The sequence below is a fragment of the Homo sapiens genome, chromosome 5 (genome assembly GCF_000001405.40).
Source record: "Homo sapiens chromosome 5, GRCh38.p14 Primary Assembly".
Taxonomy (NCBI): Eukaryota; Metazoa; Chordata; class Mammalia; order Primates; family Hominidae; genus Homo; species Homo sapiens.
Window position 1 is genome coordinate 112,634,800 of NC_000005.10, and position 21,532 is coordinate 112,656,331.

Here is a 21,532-nt window from a genome sequence, read left to right on the forward strand (position 1 = left end):
ACTGTGTTTGAACACACTATTGAGTACATGATATCCAGCCATGACACAAAATCCTCTGTGCCTAAGCCACTATGAAATAGTTGCACATAATTTACTCGAGTGAAATTCTTTTAACACTTGTTAGGGCAGGAAACTCAACACCCCACAATAATGACAACAGAGGTGGTGGTATAACAGCTGGGGGTCACAGGCTTACTGTGGTGCAGGTCCAGCTCTCAAGTTACAATCTGTTCTGGGTCCAGCAGCAAAGGCCTAGAACAGTAAACACCCGATTCAGTGTGAAACTGTGAAACATCCTTCCCCCAGTCTAGATAGTATTAATAGAACCAAATGATTCCTGAGGTCTTCCTGTTTGTTAGATTTTTCTGGTCTGGATGTCTTTCCCGTGCCAGTGAAGAATCAAGAGCAAGAGCACTACTGACAAGCAGGGCGTTGGATTGCACATACCAAGTGGGTATGGGAAGTGGGGAAGAGGTTGGTAGAGAACAGAGAAGGGAAACTTCTGGGTAGGGAAAGTGTGGGGTCCAGGTGCTAAAGCCAGTCCCATTTTACCCTGTCCTGATGACATCAGGCTTCTAATGCAGCCATTCAGGACTTCTGGTTGCAGCTTCAACATGTAAAGGAACCCTACTTGGAGATTATCTTGACATGAGGCAGAGCAGGAAATTGAAGGGGGAGAGAGGGCTCTTATTGTGCCTTTTGGCACCAGGCCTGACGAGTCAGAGGTAGAGGTAGTAATTTTGTGGGAAAAGCTTAAGATAAGTGTTATGTGTTTTCACATGTCTTTTACAAATTTTCAGTTCAGGCGTGTGAAAAGTTGGGTTGGCCCTTACATTTACTGTGGCCTTGAATTCCATAGTCTTGTTCGGTTACATCTCACTGGAAAATTAATTCAATGTCTTTTTCTTCTATCATAACACAGATTTTCTTAGGCACAATGTATTCATTCACTTATTTATTTATTTTAACAAATAATTATTGCTATGTGCCGGCATTTCCTGGGTGCTGGGGATGTGGTAGTGATTATAGCTGCCTTTGTAAAGTTTACAATCCCATGGGGGAAGTGCACAATTACACAAGTCATGACAATAAAGTGTATTAAGTGTTACAATAAGCAAAGTAAAGGAATGAAAAGCTGAAACACCAATCTTGTCTACTTATTCACTTTGTAAATTGGGAATGATTAACAAAAACCTACTTTGTGGGGCTGGCATGAGAACCAGCTGAAATCATGTGGTTAAAATGCTTTGTAAAGTGTAGTGACTCTTAGTTGTACCTCCTAGTCAAATGCCTTATCTAAATAATTTAAATGTTGCAGAGAAAGACTGAGAAGAACACCCCTCTTATTTTGAGAGCCCAGACTCTGATTCCACAGATATCAGAGGCCACCCAGGGACCAACCACCAAGTGCTGAACAAAGACACTGTACTGTGAATGGGTTACTCCCCATGAAAGCCCTGCCCCACTAGGTATCTGTGTTTCAGAGCAGACCATAAGGCCACAGGCAGGAGACAGCCAAGTACAAGAGACAGAAAGGGCAATGCCCTACAGGTCTCAGCTCACCATGAACCTGCCAGGCTCACCTGCACCCTCCCAGCTTCCTACCTTGCTTTACTCAGCACTTCTTACAGTTGTAATCACTTATTTGTGTAGTCATTTTCACCAGTCTCTCTCTCCCCTAGTAGATAGCATGCTCCACTAGGACAGGGCCCAGGGCTATTTGCTCACCACTGTACACTCCAGCCCCAGCCCAGGACTGTCAAATAATGCTGCTCAACTGATACTGCCTGAATGAATGACAAAATGCATGCTACTTACTTTGACTTACACCATTTGGGAAGTACAATTTTCTCTCTGAGCAATAGTTTCCACTTGACCTCTCTCAGTAATGAAATTCCTACAAACCTATTCCTAGGAGACAGGACAAGCAGGCTGAGGCAGTCACCTGGAAATGAAAGCTCAGGCCAAAAGGTGTCAGGGTAGTTACCTGGGGTCCCTTTCAAGTGCCTAGAGCAGAAGCTTCTAGAATCTTGCAGCCCACCTCAGGCTAGGAAACATTCTCAGAAATGAGGGAGACACAGCCTTTTAAAAATTAGGCAGCCTGAGGAGGCAGCTGGGCTCAACTCCCTGAGATGGTGAGGTCCTTTCTCTCAGGGCATCTTGCCAAAATCTCTGGTATGTCTTGCAAGGAAATAATAAATACTGTCTCTTGACTTCCAGTGTCTGTTTTTATGCCCTGGTTGTGGGCAGTAGTTTGTTTTGTTTTGTTTTATTTTCTTGGGACAGGGTCTCGCTCTGTGGCCCGGGCTGGAGTGCTATAGAACAATCTCAGCTCACTGCAGCCTCCACCTCCTGAGCTCAAGCAATCCTCCCACCTCAGCCTCCTGAGTAGTTGGGACTACAGGTGCATGCTACCACACCTGGATAATTTTTAAATTTTTTGTAGAGACAAGATCTTACTATATTGCCCAGGCTGGTCTTGAACTCCTGGGCTCAAGCAATCTTCCTGCCTCGGCATCCCAAAGTGTTGGGATGACAGGCATGATAAGCCACCACACCTGGCCTGTGGACAGTAGTTTTAATTGGAAGGGAGAAAATGGCAATATGTTTCAAGTATGTGTGTTTTTACCCTGCTGTCTACTGACTTCCACAGAGGCTGTAAATTTTGAAATCTAAGCACAAGAAGCCTCTGTCAAGAGGCAATGACCTAACATTTTGGGCATCACTCCATGTCCACATGAAGAACATCCTTGGCAAAGAGCAGTTGTAGCATATTAGTGGTAAAAATAACAACCATTCTCCTAATTTTCAACTAAATATAACTCTTAATGGCTAAAGCACTGTAAGCTAATCAGATTTTTTTGACCTTCAAAAATATCAGTTTGAAAAGCAGTATTACCCATAACATACAAAGTCAGTATTAACTATGACATGAGATATTCTGGACTGCTGTACAATTACTTGTTTTATCATTATCTTAGAATTCTGAGTGTTCCAATCTTTCCCATCGTGGAGTGAAGGGAGAATAAAAGAAATGGGATTTACTTTATGCATTTTTCTATATAACAAATTATACATTGCATATGTGGTGAAAAAAGTAATGCCAAAATTGTCTTCAGTCTAGAGACAGAGCCAGGACTGGTGGCTCACACCTGTTATCCTAGCACTTTGGGAAGCCGAGGTGGGTGGATCACTTAAGCCTAGGACTTCGAAACCAGCCAAGGCAATGTGGCAAAACTTCTTCTCCTAAAAAAAAAAACAAAACAAAAAAAAAAAAAGTTGGGCATGGTGGCATTCACCTGCAGCCCCAGCTACTCAGGAATCTGAGGTGGGAGAATCACCTGAGCCCGGGAAGGTCGAGCCCGGGAAGGTGATGGCACTCCAGCCTGGGCAGCAGAGTGAGACCCTGTCTCAAAAAATAAAATAAAATAAAATGAGACTCAGAGAATGAGTCTAATAAGCAATGGAGAATATTGCAGCCTTTTGGTTCAGGTAAACCTTCTAGGGGTACACAGAAGGATGGAGGGAAATTTAGGTTAGGCAACTGGTTCCTAAATGTTTTTGCCAAGCTGAGGCATGAGAGTGGACTTGTTGACAAATGAACCCTTCAGTAGACAATTGCCCAGTGAAAAACTGTTACTGATGAGGAAATGACAGTGGCTTAGGAGGTACAGTGTAGAGAAAGGGACACTGGGCCGGAAGAAATAGGTTAAAATTTGAACAAGTAAGGGAAGGAGAGGAGAGTTTAAAGGCAAAAATCATGCCCATTATGGTTCCTTGTCAAACTTTTTCTAATGAAACACTAAGATGACCATCTTGTCTGCAAATTTTATTCACTCAAGAATATCAGAATCAACTTCACTTTCCCCTAAGAGAGGCAATTCATCAAATCTCTCTCCTACACATCTTAACCAGGAGGCAGACTAGGTCAGGCCCCTATTATGCTATTTTAAGCCCCATGAATTTTTCCTTCATAGCACTAAATAGGGGTTATAATTTGAAATTTATGTATGAGGCTATTTGATGAAGGTTACCCACCCCTCCCCCTCCCCTGTAAACTACAGTTTAAGTATCTCCTATCTGTAATGCTTAGGACCAGAAGGGTTTCAGATTTCAGGGATTTTTGGATTTTGGAACATTTCCATATATATAATGAGATATCTTAGAGATGGGACCCAAGTCTAAAGAAAATTCATTTAAGTTTCACATGCACCTTATACACATAACCTGAAGGTAATTTTATACAATATTTTAAGTAATTTTGTACATGATGCAAAGTTTTGGCTGTGTTTTGAGTATGACCCATCACATGAGGTCAGGTGTGACATTTTCTACTTGTGGCTCACGTTGGTGCTTTAAAAATTTCAGATTTGGAAGCAGTTTGGATTTTGGATTTTCAGATTAGGGATGTTCAACCTGTAAAAGTTCCCCAGAGGCAAAAGTGTGTCTTCTTTTTTTGTCAGCCGTTAGTTTCCAGTGTCTAGCACAAGGCTCAACACGTTGCCTGGCATGTAAGAGACACTCATTTAGTAACTAAATGAATAAATGTAGTTTCACCATCCTTCCCTTTTATCTCTTCTTTTCATCTTCCTTCCCTAGTCAATATTTTCTGGTTTTCCTCTACTTTATTTTATTTCATTTCATTTTCAGATCAAAATTATAATTCATCTCAACTCTTCTACGCAATGGGTTCTTTTCATCAACAGCCCTGCATAACACTAGGAGTAGCCTCCTATGCCTCCAAATTTCTTGTGTCTCTAACACATAAAACAAAGATTGGGAACCTTAGAGGTCGTTAAACTAACAATCCCCTGGAAAGGTCAGAGTATAGGGCTGTGATTAAAAGTGCAGACACCAGAGCAGGATTTGAACTATACTCAGGTAACTTACTAATTTTGTGCTCTTACACGAGTTGCTTAACCTCTCCAAGTTTTAGTTTCCTCAACTGTAAAATGAGGATAATAATAAAATCAACCACCTCAGCCAGATAGAGTGGCTCCCACCTGTAATCCCAATACTTTAGGAGGCCAAGGCCAGACGATGGCTTAAGGCCAGAAGTTTGAGACCATCCTGGGCAACATAGCCAGACCCTGTCTCTACAAAACATAAAATAAAATAAAAATTAGCCAGGCATGGTGGTGTACACCTGTAGTCCTAACTACTGGGGAGGCTGAGATAGGAGGATTGCTTGAGGCCAGGAGTTTAAGACCAGCCTGGATAACATAGCAAGATCCCGTCTCTACAAAAAAAAATAGAATAAAATAAAATTATCTTGGCATGGTAGTGCACACTTGTAGTCTCAGCTACTTAGGAGTCTGAGGCAGGCGGGCCACTTGAGCCCATGAGTTCAAGGCTGCAGTGAGCTATGACCCTGCCACTACACTTGCCTGGGCAACAGAGTGAGACCCTGTCTCCAAAGAAAAGAAGAGAAAAGAAAGGAAAGTAAGAGGAAGCACTTCAAAGATTTATTATAATGATAAAATAATTTCTATAAGTGAAGCGCTTCATACAGTGTCTGTTACATGGAAACATTATAAAGTATCAGCTATTATTATCTCAGTGACCACAAATCCCAAATGTGTATTCTGTTACACATTCCTGCAACTGGTCCACAATTTATACTCCCAAAATGGGCAAATGGACTCAACTTTAGACCCCCTGTCACTGCTCATTGGCAGTCTCTTTACCCGGCTATCCATGCTACCAGAGTGTCTGGTCTGGATTAGGGGATGGGGAAGCAGTGGAGGGCAGTAGAGTAGAAGGGGGAACAACCCAGTCAAAATCAGAGCTCAATAACCAATTGTTATTCCAGGGCAGAAATTTCTTCTTGGCCTCCAGGCTATTATGGCCTAAGGCATTCCCTTGAATCTCCAGGGAGGCAATCTGTGTCTACAAAACACAGCATTCTTCTTAGAGCTCTACTCTATAAGAGCTGCCTCTCCCAAAACTAGCAAGAGTTGAATGTGGTTGAATGCTGTGTCACTAGGAAACAGGAATGCTTTATAACCTTTCTTCAAGCATTTAAATCCTTCTCTCCAAATAGGAGAGATGGGATTTCTGCAACATGCAGCCCACAACAGAACTGATGGAGCCTATGTAGCGAGAAGAGGTCAGAAGCTGCCCAAAGCAGCTCTGAGGCTGGGGTCACTGCACCCACCAGCTGCTGCCTGGAAGAGAAACGGGAAAGGGTGGATGCACTGTTTTGCATTTTTTCTCCAGACAACCAAAGAAATCGGGATGACAGACAGAGTTCCCTGCCTGGGGAAAACAGCTCTTTCCAACCCAACTTATAGGATTGGGAGTGTTGGGGAGGGTGGAGGAGTCATCCTCGACACACTTATGTCTGTGCAAGATGTGGAGAAAAGTAGGAAAGAAGCAGAACTCCAGCACATCTTCAAATGGATGGCCCCTGAAACTGAACAGACAGTACACAAAGGCACACTACAACTTTCTGGGCAAGAGTCTGTGGCTGCAAAGATGGAAACTGATTTGTCGAGGACCCTAGGAGGTGAACTGAAACCAGAAAGCAGAAATGCTGGGAGAGGGTGAATGAGGCTGGAGATGGCCTATACACATAATTGTACGGAGATGAGAAAGGCCACTGGGATGTAGTACTTTTTTGCCTTTTAGGCCACATTCAGGGGCTGCTGCAGACAGGGCTGTGCCCAGTAAGCAAGAATGAAAGGGGCAGGGGCAACCTGAAGCTGTGTGCTTAGGCTCACAAACCTGTCTCCAAAGAAAGTTTTCCAGATCATTCTTTTATATCCTGTATGGAATCAAACAAAATTACAGTACCTCCTTTTTCATGACTGAGTCTCTCGGTGAGAACTCGACATTTCCTTACAGTCAACTCAAAATTTCCCACTTTGTGGGAAATGAGTAATGGGGTTGAGGACATGCTGCCCCCAAATACAGCACCTTGGCATTTGAGAAAAAGCAGAAGCAGTAAAGTCTCTCTGAACTTCTCCCACCCTTTTCTCCTGCAGCTGTTCATAAAACCTAGGGGAGATTTTCTGACCTCACCCTGAAGCAGTTCCTAAGATCCTCACTTTAGAGATGCCCTCACTATATCCAGAAGAAAGAAGCATCCTTATCTCCGAACACAAAACGTCACAGAGAAGAATCTGAACAAACAGGCCTTGCTAAGTTTCCCTTGGTTTTTTACCATCAGATCACACTGTTTTGCCCAATCATATTTCTCCACAACTGTCCACTCTTCACTAAACCTAAGATGTATATATATATATTTCACTGTTTCTTTGGGTTTTCATTTCCTTATGAAGACTCATGTCATGTAAAACCTACATTAACTAAATATGTCTAATTTTCTCTGTTAATCTGTCTTAGGTAAAAGGGACTTCAGCCATGAACCTAGGAATGGGGAGATAAAGATGTTTTTCCTCCTACATGGTGAAGAGAAGAGGGTTTGCTATCACTCTCCTCCCTACCACGTTTCTCTTTTGGAGGCCTGAGTTCAGAACACTTATATAGTCATCACCTTTGAAATTAGTTTGAATTTAATTTCTTACTGATTTAAATTTTTTGGAAGTTTCCATTTAGATAAATCTTTTTCACTGGTGGAATATCTAGTGAAGGTTGCAGGGGGATCTAACTGAGAACATTTTCTTAATGATTGTACCACTTCAGAAGAAAGAGAATATACTTAAAATACTAAAAAATTAAATACTGGATTTGTTTTTCCAATGCTGCAAAATAATTAGGACTGCAAAGAAAAAAAAATCTTGAGGAGGACCCTTTCCTCTTTATTTAAAAGGAAAAATAAGTCAATTTCCCAAAGAAACAGAAGCTTAGATTTTTATGGGACCTCAGGGTGCTACTAATACTACCCTAACACTATTGTTATACTCCAATACAACTTACGCCAATACTTGACACTACTGTCAATACAATAGTCAAAATTACTATTATTTTTATTCACATATTTTAAGCCACACATACTTATTTCAGCATCCATGTGTGTTTAGGGCTTCTGTATCTTCTAGGCCAACACTCTCTCAAGCACAGACTTGAATCCAGACAGTCTGGCTCCAGGACCCAGGCTCTTAATAAATGTACTGTACTGTCTCTCTGTGTCTTCTATGAACAATTAAATCTGAAAAGTCAGGTAACACTTTACAACTAGAGAAACTGAGAGCAGAGGCATTTGTCCCTGTGTCTGCACAGCAGGTAGTGGCTGAGTGGAACTGGAAACCAAGTCTCCCAATTCCTAGGCTTTAGTCATTCCACTATCCCTTGGTGACATGCCAATGCTTTCAGAATGTTATCTCTGAATTCCTGGGAAGTTCTGAACACTTAGACATGAATGGAGAGTCTACATTGAGCAGCAGTTTAGGAGACTCAGAGACATGGGGCAATGAATAAATTTACTTCTTAGAGTCTTTCTAACACTCAGATTCTGCATTAGTAGATACTGTAGTTAAAGCAGATGCTACCACAGAACATATTTAATGTAAAAATTTACTTTTCGAGTTCCAAGTTAAGAGATAAATGACACAAATTTTATTCAATGTTACCATTCATTTTTGGCTATTACTACAGAGAAAAATGTATCAAGTCACGAGCTGAAAGTTTAGAGTAAAGAAAGCATATCAGACTTAATCCTACCTAGCTACTCACTTACCATAGAGAAAGTGGCACAGAACCAATATCTTCCCCAGCTTGGGAACTGCACAGCTGTGCTCTATATCTGAAACCATCGTCCAAAGTGCTGGGCAGCTCTTGAGAGCTGTGAGCAAAACTATTTTCAAGCACCCCCTTAGTTTAAATAGTTCAAGAATCTCCCTCAGATCTCAACACACTCATCCTCCCTGCCCCCACTTGATAACAAATGCCTTAGATTAAAAGCCAGAAGGCTCCTTAGAACTATCTAGCCCAACCTTTTTTTTTTTTTTTTTTAGACGGAGTTTCACTCTTGTTGCCCAAGGAGTGCAGTGGCTCAATCTTGGCTCACTGTAACCTCTGCCTCCTGGGTTCCAGCGAGTCTCCTGCCTCACCCTCCTGAGTGGCTGGGATTACAGGCATAAGCCACTGTGCCCAGCCTGGCCCAACCTTTCACCATCTAAAGGCCTCACATTGCCTAGTGCTTTACAGTCTTCCAATCACTTTGCCACTTGTAAGTTCCTTTGATTCCCATGACCACTCTATGAGAACAGGTACTGGGTCTTCACAATTTTTCTATCCCCTTCACCGAGACAGGGTCTGACCCACAGTGAAAGCCCCACAAACACTTGTCAAATCCTCCCCTGCTGATATGGTGTCCTAAAACTTCTCCCACTATTGTCCCAGTTATTGCCCAGAAAACCTGAGCTCTCTCAACAGCTAGGCAGGCTTGATGGAGAACAAGGCCCCCTGCCTGTGCTGCCAAAAGATGGACATGAGACAGGTTTCTGGGCTACATATTTAGGCTTATAGCTTTTTCTCTTTCATGCGTTAGTTGTGGACCTACTATTTGCCAGATATAATGCCAGGCACTGGATGTTCAGAGACGAACAAAAGAGAGAGTTACAGACTCATGCAGATGACAAACATAACATGTAACACAAAAATATATAATCATAAATCCTGGCAGATGCCCTGAAGGTACTGTGATGGAGACCACCAACAGAGATATAATTTAGATTGGCAGAACAGGGAAGGTATCTCTGAGGAAATGATATTTAAGCTGAGATCTAAAGGATGGAAGGACTCCAGCTACTCACAGAGTTGGGAGGAAGAGAAGTCCATGGAGGCCAAGGGAACAGCATGTAAGAAGCTACTAACACAAAAAAGAGCTTGGAGTAGCCTCTCAGCGTAGCCCCTCAGCCTTCCTGTTTTCAGCCACAGCTGTGATGAATAGTTCCCTGAAAGCCCAAACTCACCTCCAGCTGACAGCCACCCACCTCAAGCTTCTGAGCTTCTTTCTACTTTCTCTGATAGTGCCACAGGGCAGCTTGTGCTAATGACCCTCAGACAATCCTCAATTGTCAGGGACAGGAGCTGGTAGACAATGTCCCAGTCTCCTGTCCTTTAGGTTCACATCTCTGGAAGGCATTCTGTATACCTTTTGGGAGATCTCAGCAGAATAGATCCTTATTGCCCAAAACAGCAGTCTCAAAAAATGCACTTGTTTTGGTCTTTTCCTTTTCTTTCCACTCTCTTCATGCCCTCACTCCTTCCAGATCACCCCCTACCTTGCCCCTAAACCATTTCCAGGGAACTCAATCAAGGACGTGCACATATTAGAGAAAATGAAAAAAAGATTTGAAAGGGGGTGAGCAAGGAGGAAAATAAAGCAAGATGGGTTTGAACTTGTAGGAATGGGCAGACAATGAAGACTTGCAGGCCACAATGGGAATGTTATGCTACATGCTTCTTAGTGAAGCCTGGGTAGACATGCAAAGCAGGAGTCCAGGCCACAGAAGATGGAGGCTTGTACTGTGACATTAACAGAGGTGACGAAATGGGCAGGTTGGGATGTATTTTAAAAGCAGAATGGGGCCGGGCGCAGTGGCTCATTCCTGTATTCCTAGCACTTTAGGAAGCCGAGGCGGGTGGATCACCTGAGGTCAGAAGCTCAAGACCAGCCTGACCAACATGGTGAAACCCCGTCTCTACTAAAAATACAAAAATTAGCTGGGTGTGGTAGCAGGCACCTGTAATCCCAATCCCAGCTACTTGGGAGGCAGAAGCAGGAGAATTGCTTGAACCTGGGAGGCAGAGGTTGCAGTGAGCCGAGATCACGTCACTTCACTCCACCCTGGGCAACAGAGCAAAACTCCATCTCAAAAAAAAAAAAAGTAGAATGGTCTATACTTGCTAATGGATTGGGTGAAGCAAAGGAAGCGATCATGGATGATCTTGCTTGAGCAACTGAGTGGATGGTGATAACATTTAACTGAGATAAAAGAAACAAGATTAAGCAGAAAAATGAAAAGTGTAATTTTAAACTCATAAAATCTGAAATGTCTGTGTGACATCCAAGTGGAAACATCAAGTACACATTTAGATACATGAGTCAGGAACTCTAGGGAGTGGCCGGAACTGTAGACATGGGGATCATCTGGGTATATATATATATAATGTTTAAACTGGGAGACTGGATGAGCTTACCTGCCGAGATTGGATAGCTGGAGAAGACAAGAGGCCCTGTGATGGAACTCCAATATTTGGAAGTTAGGTAGAGGACAAAGAGGCAGCAAATGAAATTAAAAAAGAGCCACCAGGCCAGACATGGTGGCTTATGCCTGTAATTCCAGCACTTTGGGAGGCCAAGGCAGGAAGATCACTTGAACCCAGGAGTTTGACACTAGCCTGGGCAACATAGGGAGACCCTGTATCTATAAAAAAAACTTTACAAATTAGCCAGGAGTGGTAGTGCACAACTGTAGTCCCAGGTATTTAAGAGGCTGAGGTGGGGAGGCTGAGGTGGGAGGATCACTTGAGCCTGGGAGGTCAAGGCTGCAGTGAGCCATGATTGTGCCACTGCACTTCAGCCTGGGTGACTAAGTAGTGAGACTTTGTCTTTAAAAAAAAAAAAAAGAAAAAAAAAAGTCACCAGAACAGGAAGTTTATGGTATCACACAATCAAGACAGGACAAAAATTTAAGGAGGGGGAAACTGTTTTCAATGATGCTCAGAAGTGGAATAATTTGAGGACGTAGAAACACCATAATCTCTCATACCTTTCATCAGCATTAAATCATACACGTCACATACCCTCAGGCCAGACACCCTGAGTGCAACAAAGCTACTCCTAAAGACAAGCCGATGACTTGAAGCAGTAACTAAATACATGGTCGGCATAGGAGATATTTTACTTAGAGATCCTTAGATCTGTGTTCCTCCATCTGCCCAGGTCTCTCTCCTCTTATTTCTCTAGTAAGTGTATCTTCCTTTTTTATTCCACTATACTTCTGGCTGTGCTCCAAGTCTTTGAGCTGTTCTAGCCCCATTGAAGCAGATAAGGGGAAGTGTATACTATTCCTTCCTCAGGTCCAAGCCATGATTTAAGAATCCTACCACCATAGGCCTATCATTCCTGGGTGTCCAGGTCACAGATGTATACAGTTATTCAATTTCTAAACTCTTTCTTGCTTGACTGTCTCTCTTTTACTCATTGCATTCTCCTTCCATGTGTCTTTGGGCTTCCCTTGTTTCGCTATTGAGCCCATGGGAGTGCCTCAGCACAATAACTTGGGTTTAAAGTTGCCACATAGTAATTCATCAGGGATACCCAGACTGGTCCCAGGAAAATTCACTGAGATATATGCGATTTTTGTTCACCGAAGCCAAAAAAATGGTGGCCCCTGCAAGCCTGCCCAGTGCCCTAATGCCACAGAAAGTTAGCTTTCTAGGAATACTCCATTTCTTTCATCAATTCTATGGCTTAGATTAGCCAGTGATAGCTAATACTATAAGACTATAACTGAGTGGTAGGAAAAAATTGTTTATTTCATTTCCATTCCTTAAAAAAAAAATACGATGATATAATTAGAGAACTTGAAAGGCTCCACAGCTTGAAGCCAGATTTTTCAGGATAAGCAGACATACTCTCCACCTCCTAAAACAGCCCAAATACCTGCAACTAAACTAAAATACCCTGAGTCATGTCATTTTATGAAACTCTGTTCAAAAGTTTCCAGTGAGTTTCTGGTTTATTTCATTTAGTCTTACTCCTATCAAAGTCTTCTATAAGCCAGCCTACCATACGGCCATTCATATGATAATACAAGCTTTCCACCAATCCAGCCCTTTCTCCTCACAGCCATGGAATTTGGCCTTGCCTCACCCCACCTGTTCTGTGGTGCTTCCCCAGAATTCTTCTTCCCACCTGCCCTGTGGTGGAATGCCTCTCCCCTCCTGCCCTGTGGTGCTTACCCAGAATGCCTCCCCCCACCTCCCTGTGGTGTTTGCCTAGAATGCCTCTCCCCTCCTGCCTTGTAGTGCTTACCCAGAATGCCCTCCTCATGCAAGCCATACCCCATTCAGGGAACCCTGCCTGGCATCATGCTCCAGGCTTCATGTTTTTCTCTCTTAAAATCCCAGAGCCCTTGGTACAAACCCATAGTTTAGCCACTGGCTTTTTTTTCTTTGGAGATGGAGTCTCATTCTGTCGCCCAGGCTGAAGTGCAGTGGCACAGTCTCAGCTCACTGCAGCCTCCGCCTCCCGGGTTCAAGCGATTCTCCTGCCTCAGCCTCCCAAGTAGCTGGGATTGCAAGTGCCTGCCACCACAACTTTGTATTTTTAGTAGAGACAGGGTTTCACCATGTTGGCTGGGCTGGTCTCGAACTCCTGACTTTAGGCAATCCACCTGCCTCGGCCTCCCGAAGGGCTGGGATTACAGGCGTGAGCCACCAAGCCTGGCCACGCTGACTTTGTCTTGATTTTTAATTCCACTCTGCGTTAGTCTGAACTCTCCATCCAAATTAGAGTTTTTTTCTAGTCTCATGGCCTGCCACTGACCTAGGTCAAGCTCTTACTAGAAATAGAACTATTTTAACAGAACTTAACCTGTCTAACAGAGTCCCTCTTCTACTTAGAAACCCTTTACAAGCTCTCAGGTTGAAGTTTATTCTCTTAACTAGCACATACAACTTCTCATGCTCTAGGCTCACTGGCCTTTCTGGCTTCATCTCCTATCCTTTGTCCTCCACCCACCACTACACACAGCTGTGACCCGTCACATGGAGCTGCTTGTTCCCTGTACCTCTCATGTTAGTTCTTACCTTTCAAGTGTCATTACCTAGAATGCACTTCTGTGCCTTATTCATCTAACCAATCTCTATTCATTTTCCATCTTAGCTACAGTAAAAACCTCCTCCAAGAAGTCTTCCCTGATTTGGATACCCCTAGTCTGTGCCTCCAAAGCATCCTACTCCTACTACTCCTAACACTTCTTGGCATATTCATAAGCACGGGTTACTTTGGAAGCAGGGGATGTGTCTTTTTGTATTGTATTGGTATTTTGTATTAGAACAGTTATCTTATGTCTTCCCTACCTAGAAGCCAGTAACGGCTTATCACAGCTAACAAAATCCAACGTCTTCAGTTTAGAATTTAAAATCCTTGGCAATCTGATCTTTATTCTGTGAACAACCCAGTTCTACTTGCTGTTTAGTAAGAGTGTTTCCTTTGCTTTCCAATCCCTAGGTATTGATGCAAACCAGAACACTACCCAGGATGACATCCCTTTGGTCCCCCTTCCCATGTTCTCTTATACATGTCCAACCCATTCCCAAAGCCTCAGCTCAAATCCCATCTCCTCTGTAAAAATATATCCAGACTTCCCTTCTGCCTGAGTCATAATTAATCTCTTCCCCTCCTCTTCTTTTATGACATCTTGACATCTAATTATAGTATTCACTGCTGTTTGCTTTATACTTTTTTTGGGGGGGTGGTCCCTAGTAGATTATGGGCTCTTAGATGATGTCTCCCACAGTGCATATGACATTGTTCATACTCAATAATTGTACTAAACTGAGACCCTTTCATTAGAAGAAGTGCTGAGCTCCAAACCAGCTTCCATTCCAGGCTTGGCTGCTTATAACCTTGGGCAGGTCTCTTAACTTCTGTTGGCTTCCCTTGCCTCATCTCTAAAATAAGATTAATCATATTAAGGATCCTTGAAAAAAATTAATTATTTATTATTTTGAAAGTGTCTTGGGATCTTAGAGATTGGCATTTCTATTTCTGTGGTATCTTTCTTGCTAGAGCTTGCAGTTTTCTTAAAAAGAAACATGCGAAGGAAAGGCATGGTTTATTCCAAGAACGGTTTTTTTCAGAATCTGAAATAATTACATCCTATATTTCAGACAAGGTCATCTTTTACCTTTTATAGCAAATGGTGGAGTCTTGAAGAAACCTGCTTTTCCTACCAGTGACTTTAAAGTGATTACAGTATTTATGTTGAATTATAAAAAGATGAGTAAGTATTCCATCATGCAAAGAACAGGGATTTCCCTGAGGGGAGAAATAAATGAAGAAAATGTTTGAAGCATACCTAAATGTAAATGACCTTTAAAGAAACAGGTTTCCTATTTATCTGTCCTGGTCAAGGCTAGTCGCAGAAACACTTACTTGAGTGATTAATTCATTTTAAGACACTCAAAGCATATCCAAAGTCAAGGACAAAGACACCGAAGTCACTGGCTATAATAACTCATGTTTCATATACATTGACTCACTCAATCCTCACAATACTCCCACGAGATACTCAGGGCAGGTATTATTAAACCTGTTTTATGGTTGAGGAAATTGCAGTCAAGTGCGGTTATGCAACTTGCCCAAGGCCGCTCTGTAAGTAGTGAAGTCAGGACTCACATCGATCCTTTGAATCAAATCCAGGGCTCCTCCTACTCACATCACTACCTCTTGGCCCTGGTGCCCTGAGCACCGTAGACAGGAAGGCAAAGAGAATCAGGTACCTTAGAAAACTTCCTATGCAGCTTCAAGTTCCTCCTCTCAGTGAGGTCCCTGAACTCCTCCCAGAGGAATTCTTGATCCCCCTTTACCCTAATGCTTGTGCTCTCTCAATGTTTAGGTGAGCTTTATTTATCTGTCCCCTTCAGCTCAGCCAGAGTGCCCTTCTCCTCCCAGGCTTCCATCAGCAGCCTGCTGCATGGCAGTAACTTGAATGCATTGGGCAGGAAGACACACTAAGCGCAAGGATGGTGGCATCTCAGGGGATCTCCAGTCTGCATTCACAGCAGTTTACCCTGCAGTTCTCTGAAGAGAGAACTCAAAACCAGAGATTGCAGCTCCTACAGTCAGAGGAGTGGCTCTTTAAAAAATATCGCTGGTCTGGACACGAACCTCCTGACTTTGGTCCCCTCTGTTCAAACCCCTCCACTCTCTCCTGTGTTCCCACAACACCTGTATGTAGCTTGCACCATTCCTCACCTTGGGCCTTGAGCTATAGTTCTCTGCGGACATGTCAGATGTGTCTTATCTCCCCTGTCAGATAATAAGCTTATTGAGGGCAGGGGAAATGTTGATTATTGTGATAACAATAATAGGAAGCAGTATTTATTTATTGAATACTTTTTGAGTGTTAGGTATGGTGCTAAGCATTACACCTAATGGTGTAATCAATCTTCACAACAGCCTGGTGAGGCAGGTATTATGTTCATCCAAATTTTATAGCTGAGTAAATGTAGAACTGGAGCAATTATTTGTTCAAGATGTCACATCTAATACTCATCAAAGCCAGGACCAAGAGTGAGGTTTGTCATTATCTTTCACTGTAACCCCAAATGGCCTGGCAGGGACAACGTAACATTCATTGAATGACAGGACGACCTAGAATCACACTTAGTAGAATGTCATGAACATTTATTCGATTTCGGTAAACTGTTGTATAGTTTAATTTGGACAGCACATATCATAAATAGCTAAAACTTTAAATTAATGTAGTGTTAAATGTACTATGTGCTCAGGTTCGCTCTCTCCGCCGTCCTCTTTCTCTCTTCCCCTCCTCCAGAGCGAAACATCTTTATTTTCTTTTCAATTTATTTATCGAAGAAACTGAAACAGTCATCTTGTAGTGTTTCCTCCACTTTGGATTTTGTAGATTGTATTACATAATCCTCATAACAGTCATATGATTAATCTTATGAGGTAGGTGCTATTATCATCCGTATTTTGCAGGTCAGAAAAAAAAGGCTCAGAATGGTGAAAAATTGGTTTCAGATGACAAAGGACCTGCCCCCTCACTTTTCTCTCCTGGCCTCGCTTCTCACTCTTCCCCTGGTCCCATCCCTCACTTCTCACCACCTTCCCATCCTCTCTTGCTTTCCTCTTTCTCCTGCCACCTGCTTCCTTACTTCATCCTCTTGGTCCCTCCCACCCGCTTCTCCCCCACCTCCATCCTCTCTTTTGCTACCTCCCTTCCATTTGCCCCCTTGCTTCTCTCCTCCTGCCCCCACACACCCATTTCTCAACACCTCCATGCAAAAATAAAAGTGACGTAAGAAGTGATAAGTAAGGACACAAACCCAGCTCACACTGACTCCAGGTCACATGCTCTTTTTTTTTTTTTTTTTTTTGAGACGGAGTCTCGCTCTGTCGTCCAGGCTGGAGTGCAGTGGCGCGATCTCGGCTCACTGCAAGCTCCGCCTCCCGGGTTCACGCCATTCTCCTGCCTCAGCCTCCCGAGTAGCTGGGACTACAGGCGCCCGCCACTACGCCCGGCTAACTTTTTGTATTTTTAGTAGAGACGGGGTTTCACCTTGGTCTCGATCTCCTGACCTCGTAATCCGCCCGCCTCGGCCTCCCAAAGTGCTGGGATTACAGGCGTGAGCCACCGCGCCCGGCCTCCAGGTCACATGCTCTTAACCAGGACAGCCAGCCTCTGGTGTAGCCACACCCAGCAAACATCTGCTAAATGGACATTAGTGGCTTTGCTATAAATCATTTTACTACTTACCACAGAGACAAAAAATTAAAGGAGAATAGCACTTAGATGTTTTATATTCATTTGCAAGTTTTATGAGAATCATAACTAATAGTCAATGTTTGACTAAAGAAGAACAATTCTCTAAAATGACAAACTTAGATATTTGTCTTTAATAAATCAAAGACATCACTACTTCATCATGATTGGCAATTTACAATGCTCTTGAACTCATAAGTTAAAAGGGTAAAATACATAACTTCAAAAAGGATTTGGATAAAATAATAGAGCCATAGTGGTTTATGAAAGGAAGCAAAGGCTACTCATGATATATATCTCATCTTTTAAAATTGTAAATTAAAGTAAAAAATGTTTATTATTGAACATTTGGAAAAAATTTTTAGAGTACAAAGAAAATGAAAGCCACTTACGATGGTCTTACCCTCAAATCCCTCATCTTTTGAGTTGACATATGAAAAGTAGCTAGTCTCTTCTGCCATATGTGAGTTCAGGGATGAAGTCTGTCCTGCCAATAGCAAAGATCTGACCTAGTGTAGAATCTCTAGAGAACTTTTCAGAAGAGGTAGAGAGTATGTCCACAGACAATAAAGCAGGAAGACATTTGAGATAAGAAATACAGAAGAAATCTGTGATAATAAGGTAAGGATCATAAAACCTAGAATTTAAAGCTAAGGAAAAAAAAAGATATGAATAAAAAAAATAGATACTGATACTTACAAGGAAAAAATGAAAAATGAAGACTGGAAAGTGAAAAGGGATGTGGATTTCTGTTTTAGGCAAATTCCAGAAGTTTTGACACTAAAATCACTTAGGGAAACCACGTGCATTTCGAAGACATCTATTTTGACCCATGTAGCATGAGGTCAGGTCACAGGATGAAATGGAACATAAGAAATGAGCTGCAGTTCTTTTTTTTTTTTTTTCTTTTTTAGATGGAGTCTCACTCATCACCCAGGCTGGAATCAGTGGTGCGATCTCAGCTCACTGCAACCTCTGCCTCCCAGGTTCAAGCGATTCTCCGGCCTCAGCCTCCCGAGTTGCTGGGACTACAGGTGTGCACCACCACGCACAGCTAATTTTTGTATTTTTAGGAGACACTGGGTTTCGCCATTTTGGCCAGGCTGGTCTCAAACTCCTGACCTCTTGATCTGCCCGCCTTGGCCTCCCAAAGTGCTGGGATTACAGGTGTGAGCCACCATGCACACCCTGAGCTGCAGTTCATTTATAAAAAGATAGAAGACCTCAGCTCTCCCAAAGATGCCAAGCCAGGGATTAACTGCCACAGCAGGGCTGTATAGTACTTTACAAGCTTGCCATTACAGACGCATCCCGGCCAGGACTTCCCATTTGTTACAGTGTACCCAGATTCCTGAACACACCCACCTGGCCTTCAACAAGGTCACCTCTACCCAGCCATCATCTCATAGCTAGATTCCTCTCTGTAGAGATTTACCACCTCTGGCCTGATGTATACCTCCACTACCCTCTTTTTTTTTTGCCCGGGGAAGAAAGCGGCCTTGCTGACCCTGACATAAATGATCAGTGTTCAGCAGTCCACAGGGCAGATGGAAACAGTTTGACATTACACTGCAACTGGCCCTTCCTCAAACGGAATTCCTTCTGGAGACAGCCGCATTTTTAAAGTTAACCACATGCACATCTGTAATGTGATCTGTGGTGCTTATTATGTTCTTTAATAGATGAGGCATAACAGGTCATAAATAGTTTTATAGGGAGACCTAATAAGCAGGCCTATTTATTTCTTCCAATTGTATGGCCTTTGCTCCCTCCCTTAGGTTATTTCCACACTCAGAGGGCTGAAAACACACGTAGAACACTGAGGCAGGCTGTTGGTTGTTTCTTAGAAGCCAAAGGTGACAGCATGCTCAGCTCTTGAGACACAACCTTGTTGGTCTGATTTTTAAATGGAAACTTACCATACTTCAGTTTTTGGAAGTTTTATTATCATTATTTTTGTTCAGGCAAAATAATCAGTCATACAGTAATTTGGAGATTTTCTATTAAGAGAGGAGAAGAAAAACAGACCACAGCAAAAGGGAGCCAAGTGGGAGAGGGAAAGAAGCACGGAAAAGTTTTAAAACAGATACAAGGGAAGTCTTATCTCACAAACTCACTTCAGCCAGAAGGAAAGAATGCTCTCTTTCTCTCTCCTTCATAAACCCAGCCCAATTTACCCTTTGTTTTTTGAGTTTTGCTCTGTTGCCCAGGCTGGAGTGCAGTGGCACGATCTCGGCTCACTGCAACCTCCACCTCCCAGGTTCAAGTGATTCTCTGCCTCAGCCTCCCAAGTAGCTGGGATTACAGGTGTGCACCGCCAAACCCAGCTAATTTTTGTATTTTTAATAGAGACAGGGTTTTACCATGTTGGCCAGGCTGGTCTCAAACACCTGACCTCAAGTGATCGATCCACCTGCCTCAGCCTCCCAAAGTGCTGGGATTACAGGTGTGAGTCACCGCACCCAGCCCCAGTTTAGTTTTAAAAATTCTTCATTGCAGTATGTTTACAGAAATCCACCCAGGCATATGTAGTTATATATCTTCCTTCCAGAAACGTTTTGCTTTTATGGTTTCAAAAAGTGTACCTGTGGTGTCTAGGCCTAAATAAAATAACTATTTACATTTCCTTAGTTCCAAATCTATATCCATGTATACCCATCCTTTTTACATGATTTTTATCATAGAATATGTACTATTTTGTACTCTACATTTTTAAGTGTGTATTTCTACAAGAGTTTTTTTTTTTCACATCATCAAGTATGTCTTGAAACTGTTCTCCCATGCTTACATTTCAACATAATTTTTTTATTTTAAAGTGATTTAAATTATTATAATATGGAGGTGCAAGAGTTGCTTCAAAGGGAATACCAGCTTTCTCTAGTTTCTAGGTTAAGAGACTCTGCTTTAACTTCACGAGGTCATAATCTCCCCACTCATCAGATTCTGCCCTTTATTCTATGTCCTTCATGCAATAGTTCTAAAAATAAAATGCAAATGTGAAATTTATAGGAAAAAAATACTTCTTAAGAGATTCAGAACAGAGAAAATTGAGGTTATGAACCTGGTGATGCAGAGGAACAGCCACTTGTAATCAGTATGAACCAGAAGGAGAGAGCAGTAATGGCGTCAGTGACTGAAGTTATTAAGAATCCAGAGAATCCAAGAGGATTGTTAGAAGTAGGTGGGAAAAAACCCACAAAAGTTGAAGAGGTTTTTGGAGGCTACATTAAAGCTTTCTTTTGTCTAGAACTTGTAAGTGTCTCTATGAATTAAGAGCATTAACCTCTCCACATTGTTCTCCTTATAGGTAAAATGTGAGGGGGAAGGACACACTGAATAAATTACCTCTTCACTGTTGTCACAGAAATAAAATGACGAAAGTTGCCCCAGATCCCCAATGACTACGTATAATAAAAAGGAATGGCCAGGTGCAGTAGCTGTCACCTATAATCCTAGCACTTTGGGAGACCAAGGCAGATCGATTGCTTGAGTCCAGGAGTTCACGACCAGCCTGGCAAAACCCCATCTCTATATTAAAAAAAAAAAAATACAAAAGTTAGCTAGGCGTGGTGGTGTGCACTTGAAGTCCCAGCTACTCAAGAGGCTGAAATGGGAGGACTGCTTGAGCCCAGGAGGCGGAGGTTGCAGTGAACTGAGGATGCATCACTGCACTCCAGCCTGGGTGACACAGCAAGACCCTGTTTCAAAAAAAAGAAAGTGAAAAGCAAAGGTTAGGCCGGGCGCAGTGGCTCACACCTGTAATCCCAGCACTTTGGAGGCCGAGGCGGGTGGATCACGAGGTCAGGAGATCGAGACCATCCTGGCTAGCACGGTGAAACCCCGTCTCTACTAAAAATACAAAAAATTAGCCGGGCGTGGTGGTGGGCACCTGTAGTCCCAGCTACTCGGGAGGCTGAGGCAGGAGAATGGCATGAATCTGGGAGGCGGAGCTTGCAGTGAGCCGAGATCGCACCACTGCACTCCAGCCTGGGTAACAGAGCAAGACTCCATCTCAAAAAAAAAAGAAAGAAAGAAAGAAAGAAAAGCAAAGGTTAACATATTATGCCATATTCGAGGCAAAGAGTTAGTATCAAAGTTCTTGT